This window comes from Homo sapiens, chromosome 22, assembly GCF_000001405.40.
Source record: "Homo sapiens chromosome 22, GRCh38.p14 Primary Assembly".
Lineage (NCBI taxonomy): Eukaryota > Metazoa > Chordata > Mammalia > Primates > Hominidae > Homo > Homo sapiens.
In genome coordinates this window covers 49,928,388-49,949,454 of record NC_000022.11, presented here as the reverse complement: position 1 = coordinate 49,949,454, position 21,067 = coordinate 49,928,388, and the positions used below count along the sequence as shown (strand labels likewise).

At 61.9% G+C, this 21,067-nt stretch overlaps 13 annotated features.

Moving 5' to 3' along the window:
* Positions 2,047 to 2,634: an enhancer, noted in NCBI's record as "H3K27ac-H3K4me1 hESC enhancer chr22:50340469-50341056 (GRCh37/hg19 assembly coordinates)". NCBI's record gives its function as "activates a minimal SCP1, AML or CMV promoter by ChIP-STARR-seq in primed H9 embryonic stem cells {active_cell/tissue: H9 hESC(primed)}" and the evidence as "EXISTENCE:reporter gene assay evidence [ECO:0000049][PMID:30033119]".
* Positions 5,170 to 5,349: a silencer, noted in NCBI's record as "silent region_13934". NCBI's record gives its function as "represses an Ori minimal core promoter by ATAC-STARR-seq in GM12878 lymphoblastoid cells {active_cell/tissue: GM12878}" and the evidence as "EXISTENCE:reporter gene assay evidence [ECO:0000049][PMID:35858748]".
* Positions 5,170 to 6,023: a biological region, named in NCBI's record as "H3K27ac-H3K4me1 hESC enhancer GRCh37_chr22:50337080-50337805".
* Positions 5,298 to 6,023: an enhancer, noted in NCBI's record as "H3K27ac-H3K4me1 hESC enhancer chr22:50337080-50337805 (GRCh37/hg19 assembly coordinates)". NCBI's record gives its function as "activates a minimal SCP1, AML or CMV promoter by ChIP-STARR-seq in primed H9 embryonic stem cells {active_cell/tissue: H9 hESC(primed)}" and the evidence as "EXISTENCE:reporter gene assay evidence [ECO:0000049][PMID:30033119]".
* Positions 6,024 to 6,750: an enhancer, noted in NCBI's record as "H3K27ac-H3K4me1 hESC enhancer chr22:50336353-50337079 (GRCh37/hg19 assembly coordinates)". NCBI's record gives its function as "activates a minimal SCP1, AML or CMV promoter by ChIP-STARR-seq in primed H9 embryonic stem cells {active_cell/tissue: H9 hESC(primed)}" and the evidence as "EXISTENCE:reporter gene assay evidence [ECO:0000049][PMID:30033119]".
* Positions 12,713 to 13,552: an enhancer, noted in NCBI's record as "H3K27ac-H3K4me1 hESC enhancer chr22:50329551-50330390 (GRCh37/hg19 assembly coordinates)". NCBI's record gives its function as "activates a minimal SCP1, AML or CMV promoter by ChIP-STARR-seq in naive H9 embryonic stem cells {active_cell/tissue: H9 hESC(naive)}" and the evidence as "EXISTENCE:reporter gene assay evidence [ECO:0000049][PMID:30033119]".
* Positions 12,713 to 13,574: a biological region, named in NCBI's record as "Sharpr-MPRA regulatory region 8073".
* Positions 12,964 to 13,503: a silencer, noted in NCBI's record as "silent region_13933". NCBI's record gives its function as "represses an Ori minimal core promoter by ATAC-STARR-seq in GM12878 lymphoblastoid cells {active_cell/tissue: GM12878}" and the evidence as "EXISTENCE:reporter gene assay evidence [ECO:0000049][PMID:35858748]".
* Positions 13,280 to 13,574: a silencer, noted in NCBI's record as "tiled region #8073; HepG2 Repressive non-DNase unmatched - State 9:DNaseU, and K562 Repressive non-DNase unmatched - State 18:Pol2". NCBI's record gives its function as "represses a minimal TATA promoter and a strong SV40 promoter by Sharpr-MPRA in HepG2 and K562 cells {active_cell/tissue: HepG2 | K562}" and the evidence as "EXISTENCE:reporter gene assay evidence [ECO:0000049][PMID:27701403]".
* Positions 14,063 to 14,452: a silencer, noted in NCBI's record as "silent region_13932". NCBI's record gives its function as "represses an Ori minimal core promoter by ATAC-STARR-seq in GM12878 lymphoblastoid cells {active_cell/tissue: GM12878}" and the evidence as "EXISTENCE:reporter gene assay evidence [ECO:0000049][PMID:35858748]".
* Positions 14,563 to 14,782: a silencer, noted in NCBI's record as "silent region_13931". NCBI's record gives its function as "represses an Ori minimal core promoter by ATAC-STARR-seq in GM12878 lymphoblastoid cells {active_cell/tissue: GM12878}" and the evidence as "EXISTENCE:reporter gene assay evidence [ECO:0000049][PMID:35858748]".
* Positions 18,840 to 18,889: an enhancer, noted in NCBI's record as "active region_19288". NCBI's record gives its function as "activates an Ori minimal core promoter by ATAC-STARR-seq in GM12878 lymphoblastoid cells {active_cell/tissue: GM12878}" and the evidence as "EXISTENCE:reporter gene assay evidence [ECO:0000049][PMID:35858748]".
* Positions 19,626 to 19,885: a silencer, noted in NCBI's record as "silent region_13930". NCBI's record gives its function as "represses an Ori minimal core promoter by ATAC-STARR-seq in GM12878 lymphoblastoid cells {active_cell/tissue: GM12878}" and the evidence as "EXISTENCE:reporter gene assay evidence [ECO:0000049][PMID:35858748]".

Sequence of the window (21,067 nt, the reverse complement as noted above, 5' to 3'; positions counted from 1 at the left end):
CAGCCGGGAGGGTGGCTGCGAGGCCAGGGCACGCGCCCAGGGGTTCCAGTGCCCATGGGCCTCCATGTGGAGCTGTCCCTGCTGCAGCCTGGGTGTGGCACTCGTGCCCTGGCCACCCCCTTGGCAACCCCACCAAGTCCACCCAAGGAGCCCCGTCAGGGAGAGCGGCTTACTCTGCCCGGCCCTGCTGGCGACTCCTCTCCTGCCCAGCCACGCCCCAGGCCCAGGACAGCCTGCAGGACTCCAGGCCTCCACTCCCACCACCTGAGTGCCTGTCCTGCATCTGCCCCGCCCTTGTCCACAGGCGGGTGCAGCCCTAGACGGGCCTCAGCCCTGGGCTTTCTCAGTACATCTGGGTTGGGGCAGAGGCCAAGCGGGCAGGGCTTGGCTCTGGTCCCTGCCGAGGCCCTTCCTAGGTGCGGAGTCTCTCTGGGGCGCCAGTGGGAGTTGCAGGTGGGCCCTGCTAGGGCTCCTCACCCAGCCCTCTGGCCTGCCCCAGGCCTGAGGCCCTGAGAGGGTGGCGGGGGCCTGCCTTCCCCACCCTGAGGACAGCCCTGGCCAGGGCTGGGGGACAGCGGGGACAGGGACGGCCCCTCCCCCAGGGGACCTGGGCAGGTGAGGAGAGGAGCCCTCTTGCTGGGCTGGTGGGATGCTCCGCCAGGCCATCGGGGGTGTGTCAGGGGCAGGGCTGGAGGGCGGGGGGTTTGCTGTGGGTTCCGGCACCACCAGCTGCTCCCCGCTCTCTGCACCTCTGCCCTGGCAGCAGCAGGAGCTGACTGCTCACCCTGAAGGAGTGCCTGAGACACCTTGCCACCTGGTAACAGCATACCCTCAGCATACAGGCTTGACAGGGTCCAGAGAACCCAGGGGAGACAGACACCAAGAAAGACGATGGCAAGAAAGTTCCTGGCCAGCAACACCCCCCACCACGCCAGGCAAACTCTTGCACATACCGTCAAGAGCCATGAGGGCCGGTCAGCCTCTCTGGCAGCTGATGCCGCTGAGCCCACCCTCTAGGGGACCACGGGAACCCCCAGAGGGCAGCTCTGCCCGCCCCAACCCAGACACCCTGAGAAAGCCGACGGCTGAGGCCCGCCCAGGGCTGCGGCTGCCAGTAGGCAGGGGCGGGGCAGATGCAGAACAGACACTCAGGTGGCGGGAGTGGAGGCCTGGGGTCCTGCAGGCTGCCCTGGGTCTGGGACCTGGCTGGGCAGGAGACAGTCACTGGGGGGCTCCGGGCACAGCGCAGCCTATCAGGGAAGCTCTGGGTGGCCAGGCCCCTGGGTGGCTCAGCTGCAGTGGGCCCAGGGCTGGCTTCCATCAGCAGGGCTGCTGTGGCCGAGCAGACAGCCTCATGAAGTGCCCGGTGCCCGGTCCTATAAGGTGGCCACTGAGGGCCCCTGCACCCCTCACCAGGGCGGGTTCCAGAGGGATGGGACAGTGTTCCCAGCTTTGCCTTGAGAGCCGTCTGGACCACCTGCCCCCGTGGCCCCCATGTGTGCCTGGAGCCTGCTTCACAGGCTGTGTGGGGACAGGACAGCAGGCATGGGGGCTGCCCCAGGGTCCACTGGCCCCGGAGGACAGGAGGGAGCCTGTGTCCCTCAGCCAGCATCCCAGAGCCCAGCCACCCTGTCTCCCGGCAGCACTTAGGCCCAGAGCCTGGCCACCCCCAGCATAGGGGGCTGCCCAACCTGGGCACAGGCTCACCCTGCCGGCCTGGATGCCTGGGTCTGCCCCAGCTGGGCTCTGGGTGGGCGGGGAGCAGGCTCACAGCTCTGCCTCCCGAGCCCACCCTGTAGGGGACGGCTCTCACAAGCTCAGCTCCAAGGGCTGGGGGGCCATAGAGGGGCTTTAGGAGGAATGGAGACTGGGCCTGTCGGTGGGCACAGGGCTGAGAGTCCCTCCCTCTTGCTTTGAGGCAGCCAAGGAGGGAAAGAGGCCTGGCCCCCCACCCCACTGGTGCACCAGAAGCCACGAGGGAATGAACCCACACTTGGCTCCCAGTGGACTTGGCGGTGGCCAGACTGGGCCTTGAGGCTGCAGCCCCCGCACTGGGCAGGGATCGGGTCCCAGGCAAGCCTGGACGTGGATCTGGGTCCTCTTTGGAGAGACATCCCTCAGTTGCCAATAGCTGTGGCCAGGAAACTGCAGGACTCCACGGACCTGGGCCCCACCCTGGACAGACACAGCTCTGGGGAGGCAAGGGGCCCCAGGAGGGGCATTTGCATGACAAATGGATTCCCGGGAAGCTGGTGCCTGTGTAATCTGTGGCTGTATGCGAGTGCGCATGTGTGTGTGCCTGCGGGTGTGCCGGACTGGCTCCGAAGGGCCACACAGCCAGCGGCAAATCCCAAGCTCAGGGCCACCCAATACCAAGGGTTCCTGCCTGCGGGGCTTGGGTGGACAGTGGCCTGTGGGTAAAGAAGCCTGCTGGTTATGGGGAGAACCTGGCTCTGGGCCACAAAGTCAGGGTCTGGGCCCCCTTTGGGCCTCAGAATATATTTTCATCTGTGAGACAGGCCGGTCACCTAGCCAGCGGCAAGTCTGATGGGAAGACCTCGTCCTGGCCCAGCTCAGGGCTCCGGGAAGGTCAGCATCCCAGGCCCAGAGACCTCAGTGCCAGCACCCCCAGGTCCCTATGCGCTGGTCCCTTCTAGTTCTGCCCTCCCCTGCGGGCCTGCGGGGGTGTGGAGCAGGTCAGGGCAGATTCTGAGCAGACGGGGAGGCTGGAACGCTGTCCTGGTCAGTGGTAGGGACAGGCAGCCTGGGTCTCAGCTCATCCTGCCTCCTCCCCTGAGTCCCACTCTCCTTCCTGACTATGGGGAGCAGCCACATGATTTGCAGAGCCCAGCGCACATGAGAATTCAGGGTTCATTGTTCAAAATGCAGGATGAAATGATATTATAGGTGCTAACGTACGAAGCTCGTTCTTTTTTCTGTAATCCATTTCTCAACTTGTTGTGGTGTTTTCTGTTATCCAAAGTTGTTGGACAACACATATTTATCCAAAGTCTTTTTTTTTTTGTGATGGAGTCTCACTCTTTTGCCCAGGCTGGAGTGCAGTGGTGTGATCTCAGCTCACTGCAACCTCCACCTCCCGGGTTCAAGTGATTCTCCTGCCTCAGCCTCCTGAGTAGCTGGGATTACAGGAATGCACCACAATGCCTGGCTAATTTTTGTATTTTTAGTAGAGACGGGGTTTCACCATGTTGGGCAGGCTGAACTCAAACCTGACCTCAGGTGATCCATCAGGCTCAGCCTCCCACAGTGCTGGGATTGCAGGTGTGAGCCGCCGCCTGGCCCCAGCGCAGAGTTCTTGACTTGCAGCCTTCGTTGTCCTTGTCCCAATGCTGCCAGCCACACCTGCCAGGGGCTCAGGTCAATGCTCTGGCGTCCTCCAATGCCCTGGAGTCAGCCAGCAAGCCCAGCTGGCTCTACCTTCAACACCATGATGGTAATCTGTTGCTCTGCTGTGTCACAAACGACTCCAAATTATAGTGGCTTAAAACAACACACATTTATGACTTCCAGGTGGGTCTGGAATCCAAGTCTGGTTTAGCAGTTTCCCTCTGCCCCAGGGTCTCCTACAAGGCTAAAATCAGGGAGCTGTTTGGGGCTGTGGTTTAATCTCAGGGGTCACATGTACATCTTAAATTCTGCATAAAACAGTTTTATATAATAAAAGGCCACTTCTCACAGCATCTCTGGCCCCAAAAGGGGCGGAGTTTCCTGGGGGGCTGGTGAGCAGTGACACTGTAAAGGGGCGGAGTTTCCTGGGGGGCTGGTGAGCAGCGACACTGTAAAGGGGCGGAGTTTCCTGGGGGGGACTGGTGAGCAGCAACACTGTAAAGGGGCGGAGTTTCCTGGGGGGGCTGGTGAGCAGCGACACTGTAAAGGGGCGGAGTTTCCTGGGGGGCTGGTGAGCAGCAATACTGTAAAGGGGCGGAGTTTCCTGGGGGGGGCTGGTGAGCAGCGACACTGTAAAGGGGCGGAGTTTCCTGGGGGACCTGGTGAGCAGTGACACTGTAAAGGGGCAGAGTTTCCTGGGGGGACTGGTGAGCAGTGACACTGTAAAGGGGCAGAGTTTCCTGGGGGGCTGGTGAGCAGTGACACTGTAAAGGGGCGGAGTTTCCTGGGGGGCTGGTGAGCAGTGACACTGTAAAGGGGCGGAGTTTCCTGGGGGGCTGGTGAGCAGTGACACTGTAAAGGGGCGGAGTTTCCTGGGGGACCTGGTGATCAGTGACACTGTAAAGGGTCGTAGAGTTTCCTGGGGGACCTGGTGAGCAGTGACACTGTAAAGGGGCGTAGAGTTTCCTGGGGGACCTGGTGAGCAGTGACACTGTAAAGGGGCGTAGAGTTTCCTGGGGGACCTGGTGAGCAGTTGACACTGTAAAGGGGCGTAGAGTTTCCTGGGGGACCTGGTGAGCAGTGACACTGTAAAGGGGCGTAGAGTTTCCTGGGGGACCTGGTGAGCAGTGACACTGTAAAGGGGCGTAGAGTTTCCTGGGGGTACTGGTGAGCAGCGACACTGTAAAGGGGCGGAGTTTCCTGGGGGGCTGGTGAGCAGTGAGACTTTTTTCCGGGTCCCAACCCCCCAGGACATCATGCGGTCAGGAGCTCTGGGCTGGCGCAAGCGCACCCCAAGATGCACGGCCCGGCTGTCACTGTGACTGCGGTGGGCTCCTGGCGCTCTGGGTGCCTGGCACTGCAGCCTGAGGTCTGGGGTGGAGGCTGCCACCTGGTGTGCTGGTGATCCTGGGCCACCCAACACCTCCTCCACCAGCGGGGATTTCAGAGGCCCAGGTACCCGCATGGAGAGAACAGGTGCTCAGACCAAGGCCAGGTCCAGGAGGAGGCAGGACCCGGGAGGCCTGGACAACCCCAGGCCTGTCCTGAGCGTTGGAGGGCCGCTTCTGCCCACAGGCTTGGTCCCCAGGCCCAGCAGTGTGAGAGCCAGTCTTCCCAGGCCAGGACAGGGTTCAGGGAGGCAGCTCTGTGGGGCTGAGGCCTGGCCATCCTGTGTCACAACCTCCTCCATGGCCAGAGTGAGGTGACCCTGCTGGGGGTGACCAGGCCTGGGCCTGTGCTTGGCAAGTCTTTGGCTGATGGGACGTTAGACGCCAGGGGCTTCCCAGAGGGGCAGTGGGGGCGGGAGTGCAGCTGAGGATGAGCAGGAGCCTCCCCATCCCTTTCGGGCCCACACTGAGAACATGCAGTTCCGGCAGGGCGGCTTGTGGCCAGCCATGGCCTGGGTGACCCGCAGGTGGGGGATTCTGGCGGGTCTTGAAGTGGAAATGTCCATCCCTACCAGCCGGGCCTTGTTCCTCAGACTGCCAGGAGCCTGCCCGCCGGGTTGCTGCCCCTCTTGGGGGCCCAGGGCTAAAGGTGTCTAGCTTGGCAAGACTGTGAGTCTGGGCCTCCCTCCCTGGCGCTAAATGCATGCCAGCACTCACACGCCTATGCACACATGCCACCCCCGTGCGTCTGGCTGGCTGGGTGCTGCTCCCCGGGGTCCCCTCCTCCAGGAAGCCCTACGGCCTGCGTTCACCTTCTTCCTTCTGGGTAGCGTGACCTCCGATGACCCCGAAGGTGGGGATCCTTATCCGTGGAGAAAACCCGACCTTCCTGACATGCCTGGTGGGTGGGTTCTTCCCTAAAGGCCTGGGCGGCGGGGTGGGGGGGGCCTCGAGGGCCCCGAGTTCCGCTCTCAGCTCACGATGGGCTGCATGGCACCCAGAGCTGGCCTGGCTGGAAATGAGACAATAGCCAGGCCCACCCTGGAGGGCTGGTGTGGGGCGCTGGGGGGACCTGCAGGGGCCTGGAGGGCTGGGCACTCCTCAGCGACCAGGGGCCAGGCCTACCCAGGGCCTCCTGCGGGGGCTGTTCAGATGAGACGATCTTTACCACACGGCCCCACCCACTCACCCGCCTGTCAAGCAGCTTCGGGGGCTCTGCTCTGGGTTTGGAGGCTTGGGGAGCAAGTTCCTTAGAGTGATTTTTAGGAAAGAGTGATTTTCAGGCAAAGCGCTCAGAGCCACCAAGGCCATTCCATGAGGAGCTGGCATTCCAGTCTCCCTGGGACCCTCTCGGCCTGTGGCTCGGTGGGCTGCAGAAACGCCGCCACCCAGGGGCCACCCCACCCCACCTGAGACAGCTGGGGGTCCACACCAGCCGCTGGGCATGGGCGAGGCCGACCCCGGGTCTGGAGGCTCCGGCGCCCACCACAGCGTGTCCTGTCTGCAAGGCCAGCCCTCCTTCCCCCGGGCCCCAGCCTACCTGGCCCCGGCTCACCTCCAGGCAGGCCCAGCCCCTGCGCAGGGAACAGCCTGGCTTTGTGTCCTCCCCAGACACTCCGGCGCTGCCTGTGGCTTCAGAAGTCACAGTACAACATTCGGACCCCTCCTCCCTCCCACATGCAGCCACCACTGACCTGGGAGGGCAGGACGGGAGCTGGGCACCTCCAGATCTTGGGTCAGCAGAGAGCAGCTGGGGGACTGGGAGGCCAGTTCACTCTCTCCCCCACTCACTCACCCCCTCCCTCCCTCACTCCCTCCCTCACTCACTCATTCACTCATCTGTTCACTCAATCACTCACTCATTCACTCAATCACTCATTCTCTCACTCACTCATTCATTTATTCATTCACTCACTCATTCACTCACTCGTTCACTCAATCACTCATTCACTCACTCATTCACTCATTCACTCAATCACTCATTCACTCACTCATTCTTTCACTCACTTGTTCACTCATTCACTCACTCGTTCACTCAATTACTCATTCACTCACTCACTCGTTCACTCAATCACTCATTCAATCACTTGTTCACTCAATCACTCATTCACTCACTCATTCACTCACTCACTCATTCACTCAGTCATTCACTCACTCAATCATTCACTCACTCACTCATTCACTCAATCACTCGTTCACTCAATCACTCGTTCACTCAATCACTCACTCACTCAATCACTCACTCACTCTGTCTCTCACACATTCATTCATTCATCATTTGATAAGTAGTTTTTCCTGAGAGCCCACTTGTGCCATGGCCCACAGTGGCGCCTGGATAAACAGTGGGCTCATTCATTCATTCACCATTAAATGAACCTGGGGAGCCCATGGATGTCAGCACTGCAGAAGGCTGGATGGGTGGACCCCTGGGTGAATGGACAGGTGGATGTGTGGACACAAGGGTTCCCTGACCTGAGACTCCAGCTGAGGTGTCCCCAAAGCAGCTGCTGCCCTGAGAGCAGCCCCGCAGCTGGGCGCCATGCCCTCTTCTTTCCTGGGACACAGGCACTCTGCCTTCCTCTCTGGTCCTGGCCACCGCGAGTGCTGACTCTTCAGAGCTGCTTCCACCCTGGCCAGCATGCAGGCTCCTTGGGGTCAGGAAGCATCTGGAGAGGTGTGGGGCCTGCTGGGATCATGGCCCACACTGCACTGAGCACCTGCCATAGGCCTGATGCAGTGTGGCTAATGGGTCCCCTTGGTGAGAGGCTGGGGTCACTGCCTTGTGTTAGGGGCCAGGCTGGCAGAGAACGGGCTGCAGGCCCTCAGCACGCCCATGGAGGAAGGCCATGGGCTGGACCCAGGGACCAGAATGTCGGGCCTGGAACTGGACGTGGGACCTAGCCATGGATGCAAGGCCTGCACGTGGATGTGGGACCCACACACCTTCGTGGTTCTGGGGCACATGGCAGCAGCAGATGCCAGGGAAGGGTCACCCTCTGCTCACAGGGCCGGGCCCTCCCCTTCCTCCAACTCCCAGTCCACCTGCCCCCTCACACCTGACCTTTGTGTCTGCCACAGAAAGGGTGTGATTTCCTGGGAGCCGCTCTGCGCAAAGGCAGGTCAGGGTGTGAACTGAGGCCCTGGCCCCCCCAGCCGTGTCCGCTCTTGGAATTGTCTACATCTCACCATTCACCCCGGCCTCCGAAAGTTCCATCAGCTCCACATTAAAACAGACCTGGAATCCAGCCAGGCCACTGCCTGTCCTCCCAACGGGCTGGGACTTTCACAGCCTGCTGCTCCCAGTCCCCACCTGTGCTCAGCAGCAGAGACCCTCTGAGCATCAGCCACAGCCTCTTGGTGCAGCCCCACCTGATGGGAGTGAACCCCAAGCCCTCACCGGGCCCAGAGGCCCTGGATTGGCCCCTGCCACGGCTCCTCCCAGCACCCTCTCCTTCTTCTGCTTGCACTGTCTGGGCCTTTGAACTGAGGCACGCCCGACCAGGGGTCTTGCTCCAGCTGTCCCCTCACACCTGTCCTCCTCCCCACCTGGCATCGTAGATCCACGTGGGCCTCCCTCACCTACACCAGGGCAGGGGTCTTCCGGGTCAGAAGATGGACTGCTGAAGCAGCCTTTTTTCTGGGGTGACACCCAAGGTTCTTGGTCTCACAGCCACGGAGATCAAGGATGAGGACACAAGAAGGGTGAGGTTAAAGCAGACATTTAATCAGCAAAAGAAAGAGAATAGGCTGGGCATGGTGGCTCAAGCCTATAATCCCAGCACTTTGGGAGGCTGAGGCGGGCAGATCACCTAAGGTTGGGAGTTCGAGACCAGCCTGACCAACACGAAGAAACCCCGTCTCTACTAAAAATACAAAATTAACTGGGTGTGGTGGCGCATGCCTGTAATCCCAGCTGCTCGTGAAGCTGAGGCAGGAGAATCACTTGAACCCGGGAGGTGGAGGTTGCGGTGAGCCAAGATTGTGCCATTGCACTCCAGCCTGGGCAACAAGAGCAAAACTCTGTTTCAAAAAAAAAAAAAGAAAGAAAGAAAGAAAGGAAAGAAAGAGAATAGGCTGGGTGTGGTGGCTCAAGCCATGTACATTTGACATACTTCCTAAGAAAGTGCTTTTTAAATGCAGGTTGTCCAGGCCAGGCGCGATGGCTCATGCCTGTAATCCCAGCACTTTCAGAGGCTGAGGCAGGCTGATCACCTGAGGTTGGGAGTTTGAGACCAGCCTGACCAATATGGTGAAACTCCATCTCTACTAAAAATACAAAAATTAGCCAGGCGTGGTGGTGCATGCCTGTAATCACAGCTACTCAGTAGGCTGAGGCAGGAGAATCGCTTGAACCTGGGAGATGGAGATTGCAGTGAGCTGAGATCACACCACTGCCCTCCAGCCTGGGTGACAGAGTGAGATTCCGCCTCAAAAAAAAAAAAAAAAAAGAAAAAGAAAGACAGAGAACAGCTCTCTGCTACAGGGAGGGGTCCCAGAAAAATGGGTTGCCCATCCGAGATGAAATGCAGAGATTTTTATAGATGAGCTAGTGGGGAGGCAGTGTCTGATCTACATAGGGCACGAAAAACTGGTTGGGACCGGGCGTGCCATCTACATAGTGTAGCACCCCAATCTTTTTTTTTTTTGAGACAGTTTCACTCTTGTTGCCGAGGCTGGAGTGCAATGACACGATCTCGGCTCACCGCAACCTCTGCCTCCCGGGTTCAAGCGATTCTCCTGCCTCAGCTTCCTGAGTAGCTGGGATGACAGGCACACGCCCCCACACCCAGCTAATTTTTGTATTTTTGGTAGAGACAGGGTTTCATCATGTTGGCCAGGCTGGTCTTGAACTTCTGACCTCAGGTAATCCACCCTTCTCGGCCTCACAAAGTGCTGGAATTACAGGCGTGAGCCACCGTGACCGGCTGGCACCCCAGTCTTTTATTATGCACGTGGGAAGCTACTCCGTGCCGCTCATTTTTTTCTTACTGTGCGTGTGTGCTAACTAAGAGGGACATGGAGCCCCAGGGTGGACGTTCCTGGCCCCAGGGAGCCCTTTCTGTCTGTGCAGCTGCCTCCATGTCCTGTGAAGCTTCCAGCCTGATCTGTTTGCCGCCTAATCTTCCAGGCTGCTCTTTGTTAAAAAAGAAGTGATTTCTTGGGCTGCTTTCTGCTTTTTTTGTTTTGTGTGGAGACAGAGTCTCTCTCTGTTGCCCAGGCTGAGAGTGCAGTGCTGCGATCTCGGCTCACGGCAACCTCCGCCTCCCAGGTTTAAGCGATTCTCCTGCCTCAGCCTCCCAAGTAGCTGGGATTACAGGCACCCGCCACTATGCCTGGCTAATTTTTGTATTTTTAGTAGAGACGTTTCACCATGTTGGCCAGGCTGGTCTGGAACTCCTGACCTCAGGTGATCCGCCCGCCTTGGCCTCCCAAAGTGCTGTGATTACAGCTGTGAGCCACCTCGCCCGGGCCTGCTTTTTGTTAGAAGGGAGGTTCTGCTGAGGACTCTTTTGCCCTCATTATCTACCTAAATAATTTCTTTCTATCTCCTGTATCACCACCACAGTGGGAGGAAGCTGCCGACTTGGGATGTGGAGGTGGGGGCAGAGGGTCCTCCAGCTGGCCCTAAACAGAGTCCTGCCCCAGGCCTGCCTGCTCCTGGCACCTCCTGGCCCTGCCCAGGACTGAGGTCACAGGCACTGTGCCAGCCCCCTCTGACCGGTGAGAGCCCAAACAGGGCACACAGGAACCCACACAGAATCACAGAAGCCCCCCACAGGGGCTGGGAGCAGTCCCCTGGGCACTGTCGGCCAGTGCAGCCCCGCCGGGGGGTGCAGCTGCTGGTGTCCTGGGGTGGTCTCCGTGCTCATGACGGTGCCTGCATCCGTGCTGGGGGGTGCTGGTGTGTGCACGTGTGTGCTGTGTGTGCACAGGTGAGTGTCCGCTGAGTGTGCACGTGTGTGCTGTGTGTGCACAGGTCAGAGTGTCCGTGGTGTGTGCACGTGTGTGCTGTGTGTGCACAGGTGAGTGTCCGCTGAGTGTACACACGTCTGGTGTTCATGCACGAGTGAGCCCATGCTGTCCCGGGTCAGTGACAGGCGAGCATCGCGTGGGCCATGGACTGTAAGTGGGTTTGGGTAGTAAGGACACAGTGACCCCTAACCCCAAAACCATCCCTGGCTCTTGGGTGGGGAGGGGAGAGTCTGGCACAGCTTCCCTTTGGCTGTTCCCGCCTCCCCGGTTCCTGGCCCGTGGCCCCTGCCCCATCCGCCTTCTCCATGTCTGGCACTGCCCTTCCCTATGTGGGGCACGGGTCCTCACTCCTTGGGTCTCAGCTCCCAGGCAGCCCTCCCAGGCCCTGCGAGGACCCTGTGGGTGTTTGTCCCTGTGTGACTGAGGCACCACATAGAGCAGGATGTGCTAAGGCTGTACGCCTGGGCCCCACGGTCAGACGGATAGACAGAAACGTGGATGGACCGACGGGCAGCTGGTGGCCAGCGCAGGCTGCCGAGAATTGGCGGAAGTGGGGCGGGTGGCCGGCGGGCGGCCTGGCAGATCCTGGAAATCCTCGCTTCCTGTTTTCCCAACAAAGGGCCTCTGTCCCCCCAGGAAGGCCACTGGCTGGCGGCAGTGGACGGACATTCCTTTTCCGTAAACAGGATTGTTTTCCTTTTCTCCTCTGGACACAATAACAGCAGCCCCCATGCCCCCCATCCTGTCTCCTGTCACCACTAGCCATGGGGCGTGGACAGTGTGGACGGGTAGGGGGTCCACAGAGCAGGCTTTCCTGGACCAGGTGCCCATTCTGTCACCCTGGGAGTGGGAGTCACAGTGGGGGCCATAGCCTAGTTGACGGCAATGAGGCCTCCAGGGCAAGGAGTGGGAATTCAGTGACGTCTGCCCCACAGGGCAGGTGGGAGGCTGGACCAGCCTTGGGCTAAGGAGACCCTGTGAGCCTCATGGCCCGAGGCAGCAGTGCTTGGGGCAGAGGCCAGGCTTAGGTCTCTGCAGGGGCTGGGCCTCCCTCCAGGTGGACCTCCCCCCGCCCCAGGCTGGCTTTGGGTGAATGCATCTGACTTCCAGAAGCCCCAGAGCAAGACCCTAGAGTAGCTAGAAGCCCCAAGGGGACCCTGGGCGTGGCGGGAGGGGGCAAGGGAAAAGCCTCCAGAGGGTTCAGGGCCCTCCCCTGCCACAGGAGACCCAGTGAGGGCTGCAGGGACAGCCTGGATCTGTGCAGTGCAGATGGCGTGGAGGGGCAGAAGTGGCACGGTTCCCGCGTGCACAGCTCTGAGTGAGCGCAAGTGTGGCTGCTGTGCACACCCAGGCAGCGGGTGCCTGAATGGGCCTGTGTGAGGGGCTGGGACTATTTATAGCCGCTCCTAGCCCAGAGGAGCTATTAATAGCCAGGGTTGAGGGGGACGGACAATGTCTCCTGCTGGCCGCTGCCTGCGGGTGGGGTGGGGGTGGGTGCCATTCTGTGCCCGGAGACACCCGGGGCTGGTACCCCAGCCCCCACCCAGGCTTCGGCACAAGGGCCACTGTTATCTGGTCAGCAGCTGAGCCAGGGGTCTGCATTCACCTGGGACAGCAGGCTGGGGGTGCACCAGGCTACAGCCCCCACCCTGCTCTCCCCGGAGGCCGTTCTGCAGCCACACTGACCCTGAGGAGGATGGGATGGTGGGCACGTGAGCTGGCAGCAGCAGGGCACCCCGGATGGAAAGGGATGCTGAGACCAGGACCCCCATATCTGGTTCTCAGATTCCAGCATGGGGAAGGGGTAAGGAAGTGCTGTGGGGACCGCAGAGCCAGAAGTGGATTTGAGAGAGGCCGGCCCTGCAGGCCCCCCAACCTGCCTCTGGCAGTATAACCAGGTGTCCCTGAAGTAAACAGGTGAACTGAGGCCAAGTCAGATGGGCCTTGGAGCCACTGGAGGGGTGTGGATGGAGGGCTGTGGGTGGAGGAGAAGGGCCCTGCCAGAATTCAGGCTGGTGGGGGCAACAGGCAGCCTCATAGCCCGCTGTCCTGGCTGAGGCTCATTCCCTGTGATCATTTTTGAGAAAAAAAAAAAAAAAAAAAGGGGGGAGGGCGCCTAGCTTGTAAAAAGACCAGATCCCGACCCCACGAAGGGTGAAGTGTGACCTGGGTGGGGCGGGGGGCACCCCTCCAAGCCTTGGCTGCACCCGGCTCCCTGTGCCACACGCGTCCCCAGCATCAAGAGGCGCACCCCCCACCTCTCCCTAAGCCCAGCCAGGCTGCAGAGAAAACAGGAAAGCTCGGAGGCCCAGCCAGGCGCCCTGTGGGCGGGCCTGGGGGAGCTGGGGACGCAGGTTCTGGCTTCCACCCCGGGGGGGCGGGGGGTGTGCGGCGGCGGCGGTGGCGCTCGTGCATCTCATTCTGCGCCTGCTCCCGCGGGGGCTCCTTTCCTTCGGGGAGCCCCCGCCCCCGGGGCCGTGACTAAGCGGAGTCACCTGCCGCCAAGGGCTTTCCAAGAAGGTCAAGGCCAACCGCGCTCCGGCCCACGCCCCAGAGCTCGGGCCGGGCCCTCACAGCCATCGTCCTGCTCATCGTCATTGCTCCCGCAGGGGGTTCCCAGCGACGAGGAGCGCGGGGCCGGGGCGGCGGGGGAGGAGCGCGGGCGGGTCCCTATGGGGCTGGGCACGGGCTGCAGGTCCCCTCCCATGCTCAGCCCAGGCCCCACACCCTCCACCCCTGCTCCTCCCGGACCTCCACCCTCCCCTCCGTCCCTGCTCCTCCCGGACCCCCACCCTCCCCTCCGTCCCTGCTCCTCCCGGACCCCCACCCTCCCCTCCGCCCCCACCCCTGCTCACCCCAGGCCCCACACCCCGCACCCCTCCTTCTCCCAGACCCCCAGGCTCCCCTCCGCCCCTACCCCTGCTCCTCCTGGACCCCCCACACCCTCCCCTCCGCCCCAACCCCTGCTCATCCTGAACCCCCCACCCTCCCCTTTGCCCCACCCCTGCTCCTCCCACATCCCCACCCTCCCCTCCGCCTCCACTCCTGCTCCTCCCGGACCCCCACCCTCCCCTCCGTCCCCGCCCCTGCTCCTCCCGGACCCCCATCCTCCCCTCCGCCCCCACCCTGCTCCTCCCCGCGCCCCCACTCCCCGCCCCCACCCTCCGTCCCCAACACCTGCTCCTTCCCAGACCCTCATCCCCCTGCCCCAGTCTCGCTCTTCAGCGCACCCCCGGCACCTCCATTGCGTCCCCTCCCCCCACCTCCTCGTAGCGCCCCCATCTGCTCCCCGCCCCCGCCCGCCGGGGAAAGCCCAGCTGACGCTTCCGGCACCGCCCCCTTCCCGGCAGGGCCGCTCCCCGCCCTTCCCGCCCGCGGGAGCAACACCGCCCCCCGCGCCCCACCCCGCGCCCCGCCGCCCGCCCGGGTCCCCCAAGCCCGCTCTGCGCAGGGCGGGGTCCTTCCTCTGCAAAGGGCGGACCGAAGACCCGGGCGCCGGGCAGAGGCTGGAGGGGGGCCCGGGTGGGGTGAATCCCCAGTGGGTGCCCGCTCCCCACCCCCACCGCGACCACCAGCCCCCGCTCCGAGCAGGGACTCCGAGGCTTGCGGGTGACCCTCGAGTGGTGGCCGCCCTGTGGCCCAGAGAGCCCCGTCGCAGGCAGGTGGGTGAGCGCAGAAAGACGCTGGCCCTGGACTGCCGTTTGAGGGGTGAGGGGCCAGATACCCCTCCCTGGCTCTGGGGGGATCCTCCCAAAGGCCAGACCGGGGTAGGGGGGAGAGCGGACCCTGCTCAACGGCTGGGAACGGTCTCTCCAGAAGGATCCCCCGGGAGTGGGTGGAGGGGGTCTCTGGAGAGGTGGGTGCCCTGCAGCCTCCTCAGGCCAGGCCACTCCCGGCCCCTCACTGGTGCAGAGCAGCCGGCTTGGGGTTTGGGAAGACCGCAGCCCCAGGGAGGCGGGGAGGGGCGCTGGGCCTGGAGGGGGAGTGTGTGGCCTGAGAGCCGGTGGCCCCCACCAGCCACATTACAGTAAGCCTTTCTGGGCCCCAGCACCGCCCCCCACTCCCCTGCAGGACCTGGGCCCTTCTGCCCCCCGACCCCCAGGGCCCACCTGGCACAGGCTCAGTCCACACCCGCGTGCTGGTCACGGGCATATGAGGAGGAGGGCAGGGCCACTGGGCCAGGGCCCTCCACCCTGAGTCACCCCACTGACGACCACCCTTCCCAGGTGGCAGGCAGAGTCCCCACCCCAGGCCTGCGGGGTCTGGGAGTCTGAAAAGGGACAGAGCCGGACCGGGGGGCTGAGGGAGCAGCAGGGGCAGGCTGAGGAGAGCACCCCACTGAAGGCCACACCCTTTGAGTCATCCTGTGGTGGCCAAAGGCCCAGCCCCCTCCTCACAGCTCAGCACGCTGAAGAAGTCTCAGGGTGCCTCACCTCACCCAGCCCCCAGGTCAGCTGAGGACATGGCTGAGGCGCCAAGACCGCCTGCCACTCTGGAGCCAGCCACAGACAGGCAGCGCCAGGGAGGTGTACAGGCAAAGGCACTCTGTCCAGCGGGCACCACTGGCGGTGGACGCGACGGGAAGGGGCCTGCACTCTTGGGGTGGGTGAGCCTGGGGTGAGAGTCCAGGGGGCACAACCTTGAGAACAGTGTCCTCGGGGGGCTGCTGGTGCCCGCCCCTGAAGCTCTGGAAAAACAACAGAAGGCTGCATGGAGAGGCCAGGAGAACACGCACAGACTCAGTGACCAGAGGGGCCACCAATAGGTGACCCCATCCCCGGGGGTCTGCTGTGCCCCGGCCTCGGTGCTGGCTGGGAAGAAACAGGATGTCTCCAAACCGTGCCTCCTCCGTGGGAGAGGCCGGCCCCCTGCCCCGGCTCCCCAGGACCTGCCCGAGACCCTCCTGGGATTACCCAGGACCTGCCCGAGACCCTCCTGGGATTAAGTTGCAGTGTATCCTGGTGGGGATGTGCTGGCCCAGTGACAAAGGGGCCACAGCCTGAAGGAGCCCGGGACCCGAAGCCGTGCCCAGCCAGATAAGCTGCATGTGGTGGACGGCGGAGAGCTGACGGGTTGTGGGCCCTTTTCTGAGGACTAGGACCCCAGGAGGCGGTGTCCTCTGCTGCTCTGTTTCACGGCCCAGAGGCTCCTGGAGTGTGGGACACACGTGAGGAGGGGTGAATGTCAGAACAGCCACCGCAGACAGGGGCTGAAAGTCATGTGGCACCACAGATCCCAGCTGTCCTCTGGAACTGAGAGCAGGGGACGGTCACAGCACTGGACTGGCTGACAGGGACGGGGGTGATGGCCAGGCAGCAGCATTTGACCATCAGTGGCTGTGAAGGCAGCTCTCTAATGAGTTGCAGGGCTGGAGCGGGCCCAGGGTCAGAGCTGCGTGGGGTTGTGGAGGTGGCTGATAGAACAGCATGTTCCTGGGAGAGGGACAGGCAGCCCACAAGAGACTGCTCAGCTTGTTGGAGCAAAATATATTAGGGTTGTGTGATGCGGAGGTCAAGGGTACTCGCTCCAATAAAAAGTCAGGGCCGGTCGTGGTGGCTCAAGCCTGTAATCCCAGCACTCTGCGAGGCCAAGGCAGGTGGATCACTTTGAGGTCGGGAGTTCAAGAGCAGCCTGCTCAACATAGTGAAACCCCATCTCTACTAAAAATACAACAGTTAGCTGGGCGTGGTGGCAGGTGCCTGTAATCTCAGCTACTCGGGAGGCTGAGGCAGGAGAATTGCTTAAACCTGGGAGACAGAGGTTGCAGTGACCTGAGATCACACCACCGCACTCTAGCCTGGGCAACACAGAGAGACTCTTTCTTGAAAATAGATAAATAAGGCCGGGCGTGGTGGCTCACGCCTGTAATCCCAGCACTTTAGGAAGCCGAGGTGGGCGGATCACGAGGTCAGGAGTTCAAGACCAGCCTGACCAATGTGGTGAAACCCCCATCTCTACTAAAAATACAAAAATTAGCCGGGCGTGGTGGTGCATGCCTGTAATCCCAGCTACTCGGGAGGCTGAGGCAGGAGAATCACTTGAATCCGGGAGGCAGAGGCTGCAGTGAGCCGAGATCGCGCCACTGCACTGTCAGCCTGGGCTACAGAGTGAGATTCTGTCTCAAAAATACATAAATAGGGCCGGGTGCTGTGTCTCACACCTGTAATCCCAGCACTTTGGGAGGCCGAGGCGGGTGGATCACGAGGTCAGGAGATCGAGACCATCCTGGCTAACACGGCGAGACCCCCGTCTCTACTAAAAATGCAAAAAATTAGCCGGGCGTGGTGGCAGGCGCCTGTAGTCCCAGCTACTCGGGAGGCTGAGGCAGGAGAGTAGTGTGAACCCGGGAGGTGGAGCTTGCAGTGAGCCGAGATCGCGCCACTGCACTCCAGCCTGGGTGACAGAGCCAGACTCCATCTCAAATAAATAAAAATAAATAAATAAATAAATAAATAAAAAGTCATGACGCTGCCCAGTTTCTAGACCTGAGTGGGTTTCTGACCCAGAGAAATCTCACTAAAGTGAAGGCTGAGTCCCTAAGAGGAAGATGTGCAACGCCAAGGCAAATCCACACCATGATGATTCTGGCCCCCTGCCCCCGCCCCCGCCCGCCACCACCACCAGACGGCCTGTGGCCGCCGACCTCGGTAACCAGACACAGTGCAACGGAAATACGCACACATCTTCAGAAGTGCTGGACACAGGGTTTGAGTGATGCTGGCATCTGAAGGCCTGAAGCATCCTCATGGCTCCCGTTAGAGCGAGGGGCTGACAGGAGCCAGGGAAGCAGTGGAATTCGGGCCAGGTCTGATCCACCAGCCTCGAGTCTGCACATTCATCCAGTGGGTCATTTCCCCAGTCACAGGACGGATGGAGCTGACATTCTTGATGGTAGACACCATTTCCTTGGCCATCATAATGGGTAAGTCCAGTGCAAATCTGTGACCATCCCCACCCAAAATAGTAAATCAAAACTGGGGGAAACTAGGGACACATCTAAAGATCTAAAAGAATGCAAGGATCTCCTTTTTTTTTTTTTTTTGAGACGGAGTCTCGCTCTGTCACCCAGACTGGAGTGCAGCAGAGCGATCTCGGCTCACTGCAGCCTCCGCCTCTCGAGTCCCAGTGGTTCTCTTGCCTCAGCCTCCTGAGTTGATGGGATTACAGGTGCCTGCCGCCGTGCCTGGCTAATTTTTGTATTTTTAGTAGAGATGGGGTTTTGCCATGTTCCTGGTCTGGAACTCCTGACCTCAGGTGATCCACCTACCTTGGCCTCCCAAAGTGCTAGGAATACAGTGGCGTGAGCCACCATGCCCGGCCAAGGATCTCCTTTTATTCCACCAATCTGACCACTGCAAAAGGCAGGTGGGTGGGTCCTGGAGGAGAGTGGACTGTTGCAAAAACAACCCAGCTAGATGTGGCGCCTTTGCTAGAGAAGGCTCCCCAGCCCCAGGTGTGCAGTGAGGCCACTGCTGGGTGTGCATTCTTCTCCATCTCCTGTCTGGCAGGAAGATCAGTCACACTGCCTTGGAACTCAAAACAGGAAACACTCAGTTCCTCCCCAGGGCTATGGTAACGTTCCTGCCCTCTCTCACAATAATCCAGAGACTGGCACCAGCTGAATGAATGTCCCCAGGATGTCACACTGGCCCCCTCTATCGATGGTGCTGTGCTAATGAGACCAGATGACCAAGACATGGTGAGCACACTGGGCCCTCCTGAGCGAGAAAATCCCCTCCAAAGCAGAGGACAGATAAGTGGCTGCCTCTTGCAGCCCCCGCCAGGACACACGGCACCTGGAAGGCTTCTGGGAGCTGGAACAGTATGTTCCACATTTGGGGACTCTGTTCCAACCCAATACTGGGGGACACAAAAGGACAGCTCTGAACAGGCACAGAGCAGGACCAGCTCCACCGCCGTCCAAGCCCAACTCCGGTGTCCCGGCTGCTACTTACGATCTGACTCTGCAGACCAAAGGCACGGGTGGTAAAGGAGGGGTTAAGGTCAAGTGCCTGTGGAAGACCCTCCCCAAACACAGTGCAGAGGAGGCCCATGCCATCCTCAGTGTGTGCCTGCGTCGAGGACTCCTGCTGTGGTTCTGGGCCCCTGTGGAGATGCACAGCCTGGCCATGGGATGCCCCATGGCTGTGTCTCTGCCTTGCCCGCTGGCACTGGCTATTAGACCGGCCCTGTCATGAGGTTGAGCAGGCAACGGTCATCTTCAGGGGGATGTGGTACATCCAGGACAGCAGGACGCAGCACGCATAGGTGGTCCCGGCCTGCGCGGACCCCACCCCATGATTCGTGTTCCCAGAGCAGACCCACGTTCACACCATGGCCGCCTCCCTGTCTAACATGCCTTGGCTGAGGTCCAGGCCCCTGTCCAGGGACTGCTGTGAGCATCTGTCTGCCTTGGTGGCAGCGGGAGCTGGCTTGTCCTCTGGTGGGGGCCATCCTCTGTGGCAGGGTGTCCTGTGCCCTGGCAGAAGCACTCCTCACCAGGTCGTGACAACCCACAGCACCTCCAGAGGCGGTCCCCTGTCCCCTGGAGGACACAACAGCTGCCTGTTGAGAACCGCTGGCTCACAGAACGTCTCATCCTGCGGATCCCGCCCACTGTCTGTTGCATTCGACCAAGGGACGCGTTTACAGCAAAGCCAGGGGTGGGCTTGACCAGGGGGCACTTCTAGAAGCTTCTAGCCTGACAAGGAGTGCCCTGTGGGGATGGAAGCCATCTCCAGGACCTGCGTATGTGCCAAAGCAAGATGCCGGGGTCTGGGAACCAAAGTGGAGGCCCTCTCGGCCCTGCAGACCCCAGTCCTGGCTCCCAGAGGGTGGGACTCCCCCAGGGCTATGGCAGGGTCTCTGCCTGGGCCCAGAAGGACAGCGGAGGTCCACAGTTCACCCCAACCTCCCCCTTCCAAGTTCCCCTTTTAGAAAGACGCCCCGGCAGCGCCGAGGTGTGACGGGGCAGGTGCAGCGGGCAGGGGCCGGCCGAGTCCCGGGAGCCGGGCCGAGCAGGGCGGTCCCACAGCGCCACCTGCTGGCCGCGCGCGTCCCGGTCCCCGACCCAGGCCGGGCGGCTCCGAGGGGCGGTACCTCGCGCGGCCTCGCGGTCCACCTGCTGGGCCCGGGCAGGGGTCGCGATCCGAGGCAGGGTCCGCTGTGTCCGGCGGGAGCGGGCGGGGCGCGGGCGGCGCCGCGTGGGGAGGGGCGGATCAGAGCCCCCCCAGGAGGCGGCGCTCCCGGTCCCGGCCCCAGCCCCAGCCCCAGCCCCAGCCCCGCAGGCGCCCCTCGAGCACCCGGGCAGGTGGACCCCAGCCCCGCGGTTCCAAGGACCCTGCCTGCGCCCTCGCCTCGGCCCTGCCGCAGGGTCTTGCGGGGTCGTCCCCCATTCCTGCTCAACCGCCCCCCCCAGTCCCCGTCCCCCGTGTCCCGCGGGCACCTCTCCTGGCCTGGCCCCGACCCCCCTCCGAGGACTCCCTAGCGTTCACTGGCGACAAAGTGGATATGCGCGCCCGGGGTCCTGCTCCCAACGTCCGGAACCGCGGCCCCTGTCCTGTACACCTCCCGTCCTCGACTCCCCGGGCCCAGGAGGGTCGCCGTCTCCAGCGTGGACGTGCGGGTCAGTAGTGCCAGGACGGTGCACAGCCTGGGAAGGGGGGGCCAGGGCAGGAGCAGGACAGAGGTCCCGGCTGGAAGATGGGGCGGGGGTCCCAGACCTGGCCGCGGTCCCACCTGATCAACGGCGGCTCCGCAGGTCTGAGCCGGGCAGGGACGCGCGGGACATGGGAGGCGCCTGTACCGCCGCTGTCCATGCACGTGAGGGTGCACAAGGTGGCCCTGGGCCAGCCCCTGCCTGGCTCCTCTTCTCCCCTGGGGCGTCCTCTTCCCTGGCTACGCCCTCTCTTCCTCCCCCAGGTACCCCCCAGGGACAAGGCCTGCCTTCTGGGCTTCCCGCTGGGGTCGCCTAGTTCCCACCCACCCGTGGGTGGCTCCACCCTCCCACGGGAGACTCAGGTGCTCGGCCCCCCAGGGACTCAGCTGGTGTTTCCCTACTTCTTTCCACGGCCATCCCTGTGGACTCTCCACCATGCTCTGATCCCACTTTCTGAGCCCCCCAAGGGCCCACCCAGCCCCCGCCCCTCTGGCCTCTGCCCTTGGTCTGCACCGTCAGGACCTCATCTCTAGGTGGTCCCATCAGCACATGAAGCGGAAACTGCCTGAGAGGGCTGAAGTGGACAAGAGCAGCCCCCACCTCGCCTAAGCTGAGCTGTGCCCCCTCTAGGGATTTGGGGCACCCTGGCCTAGGGTTAGAGGGAGAAAGGGAGAGGCCGTGAGGCTGCTGAGTGCAACTG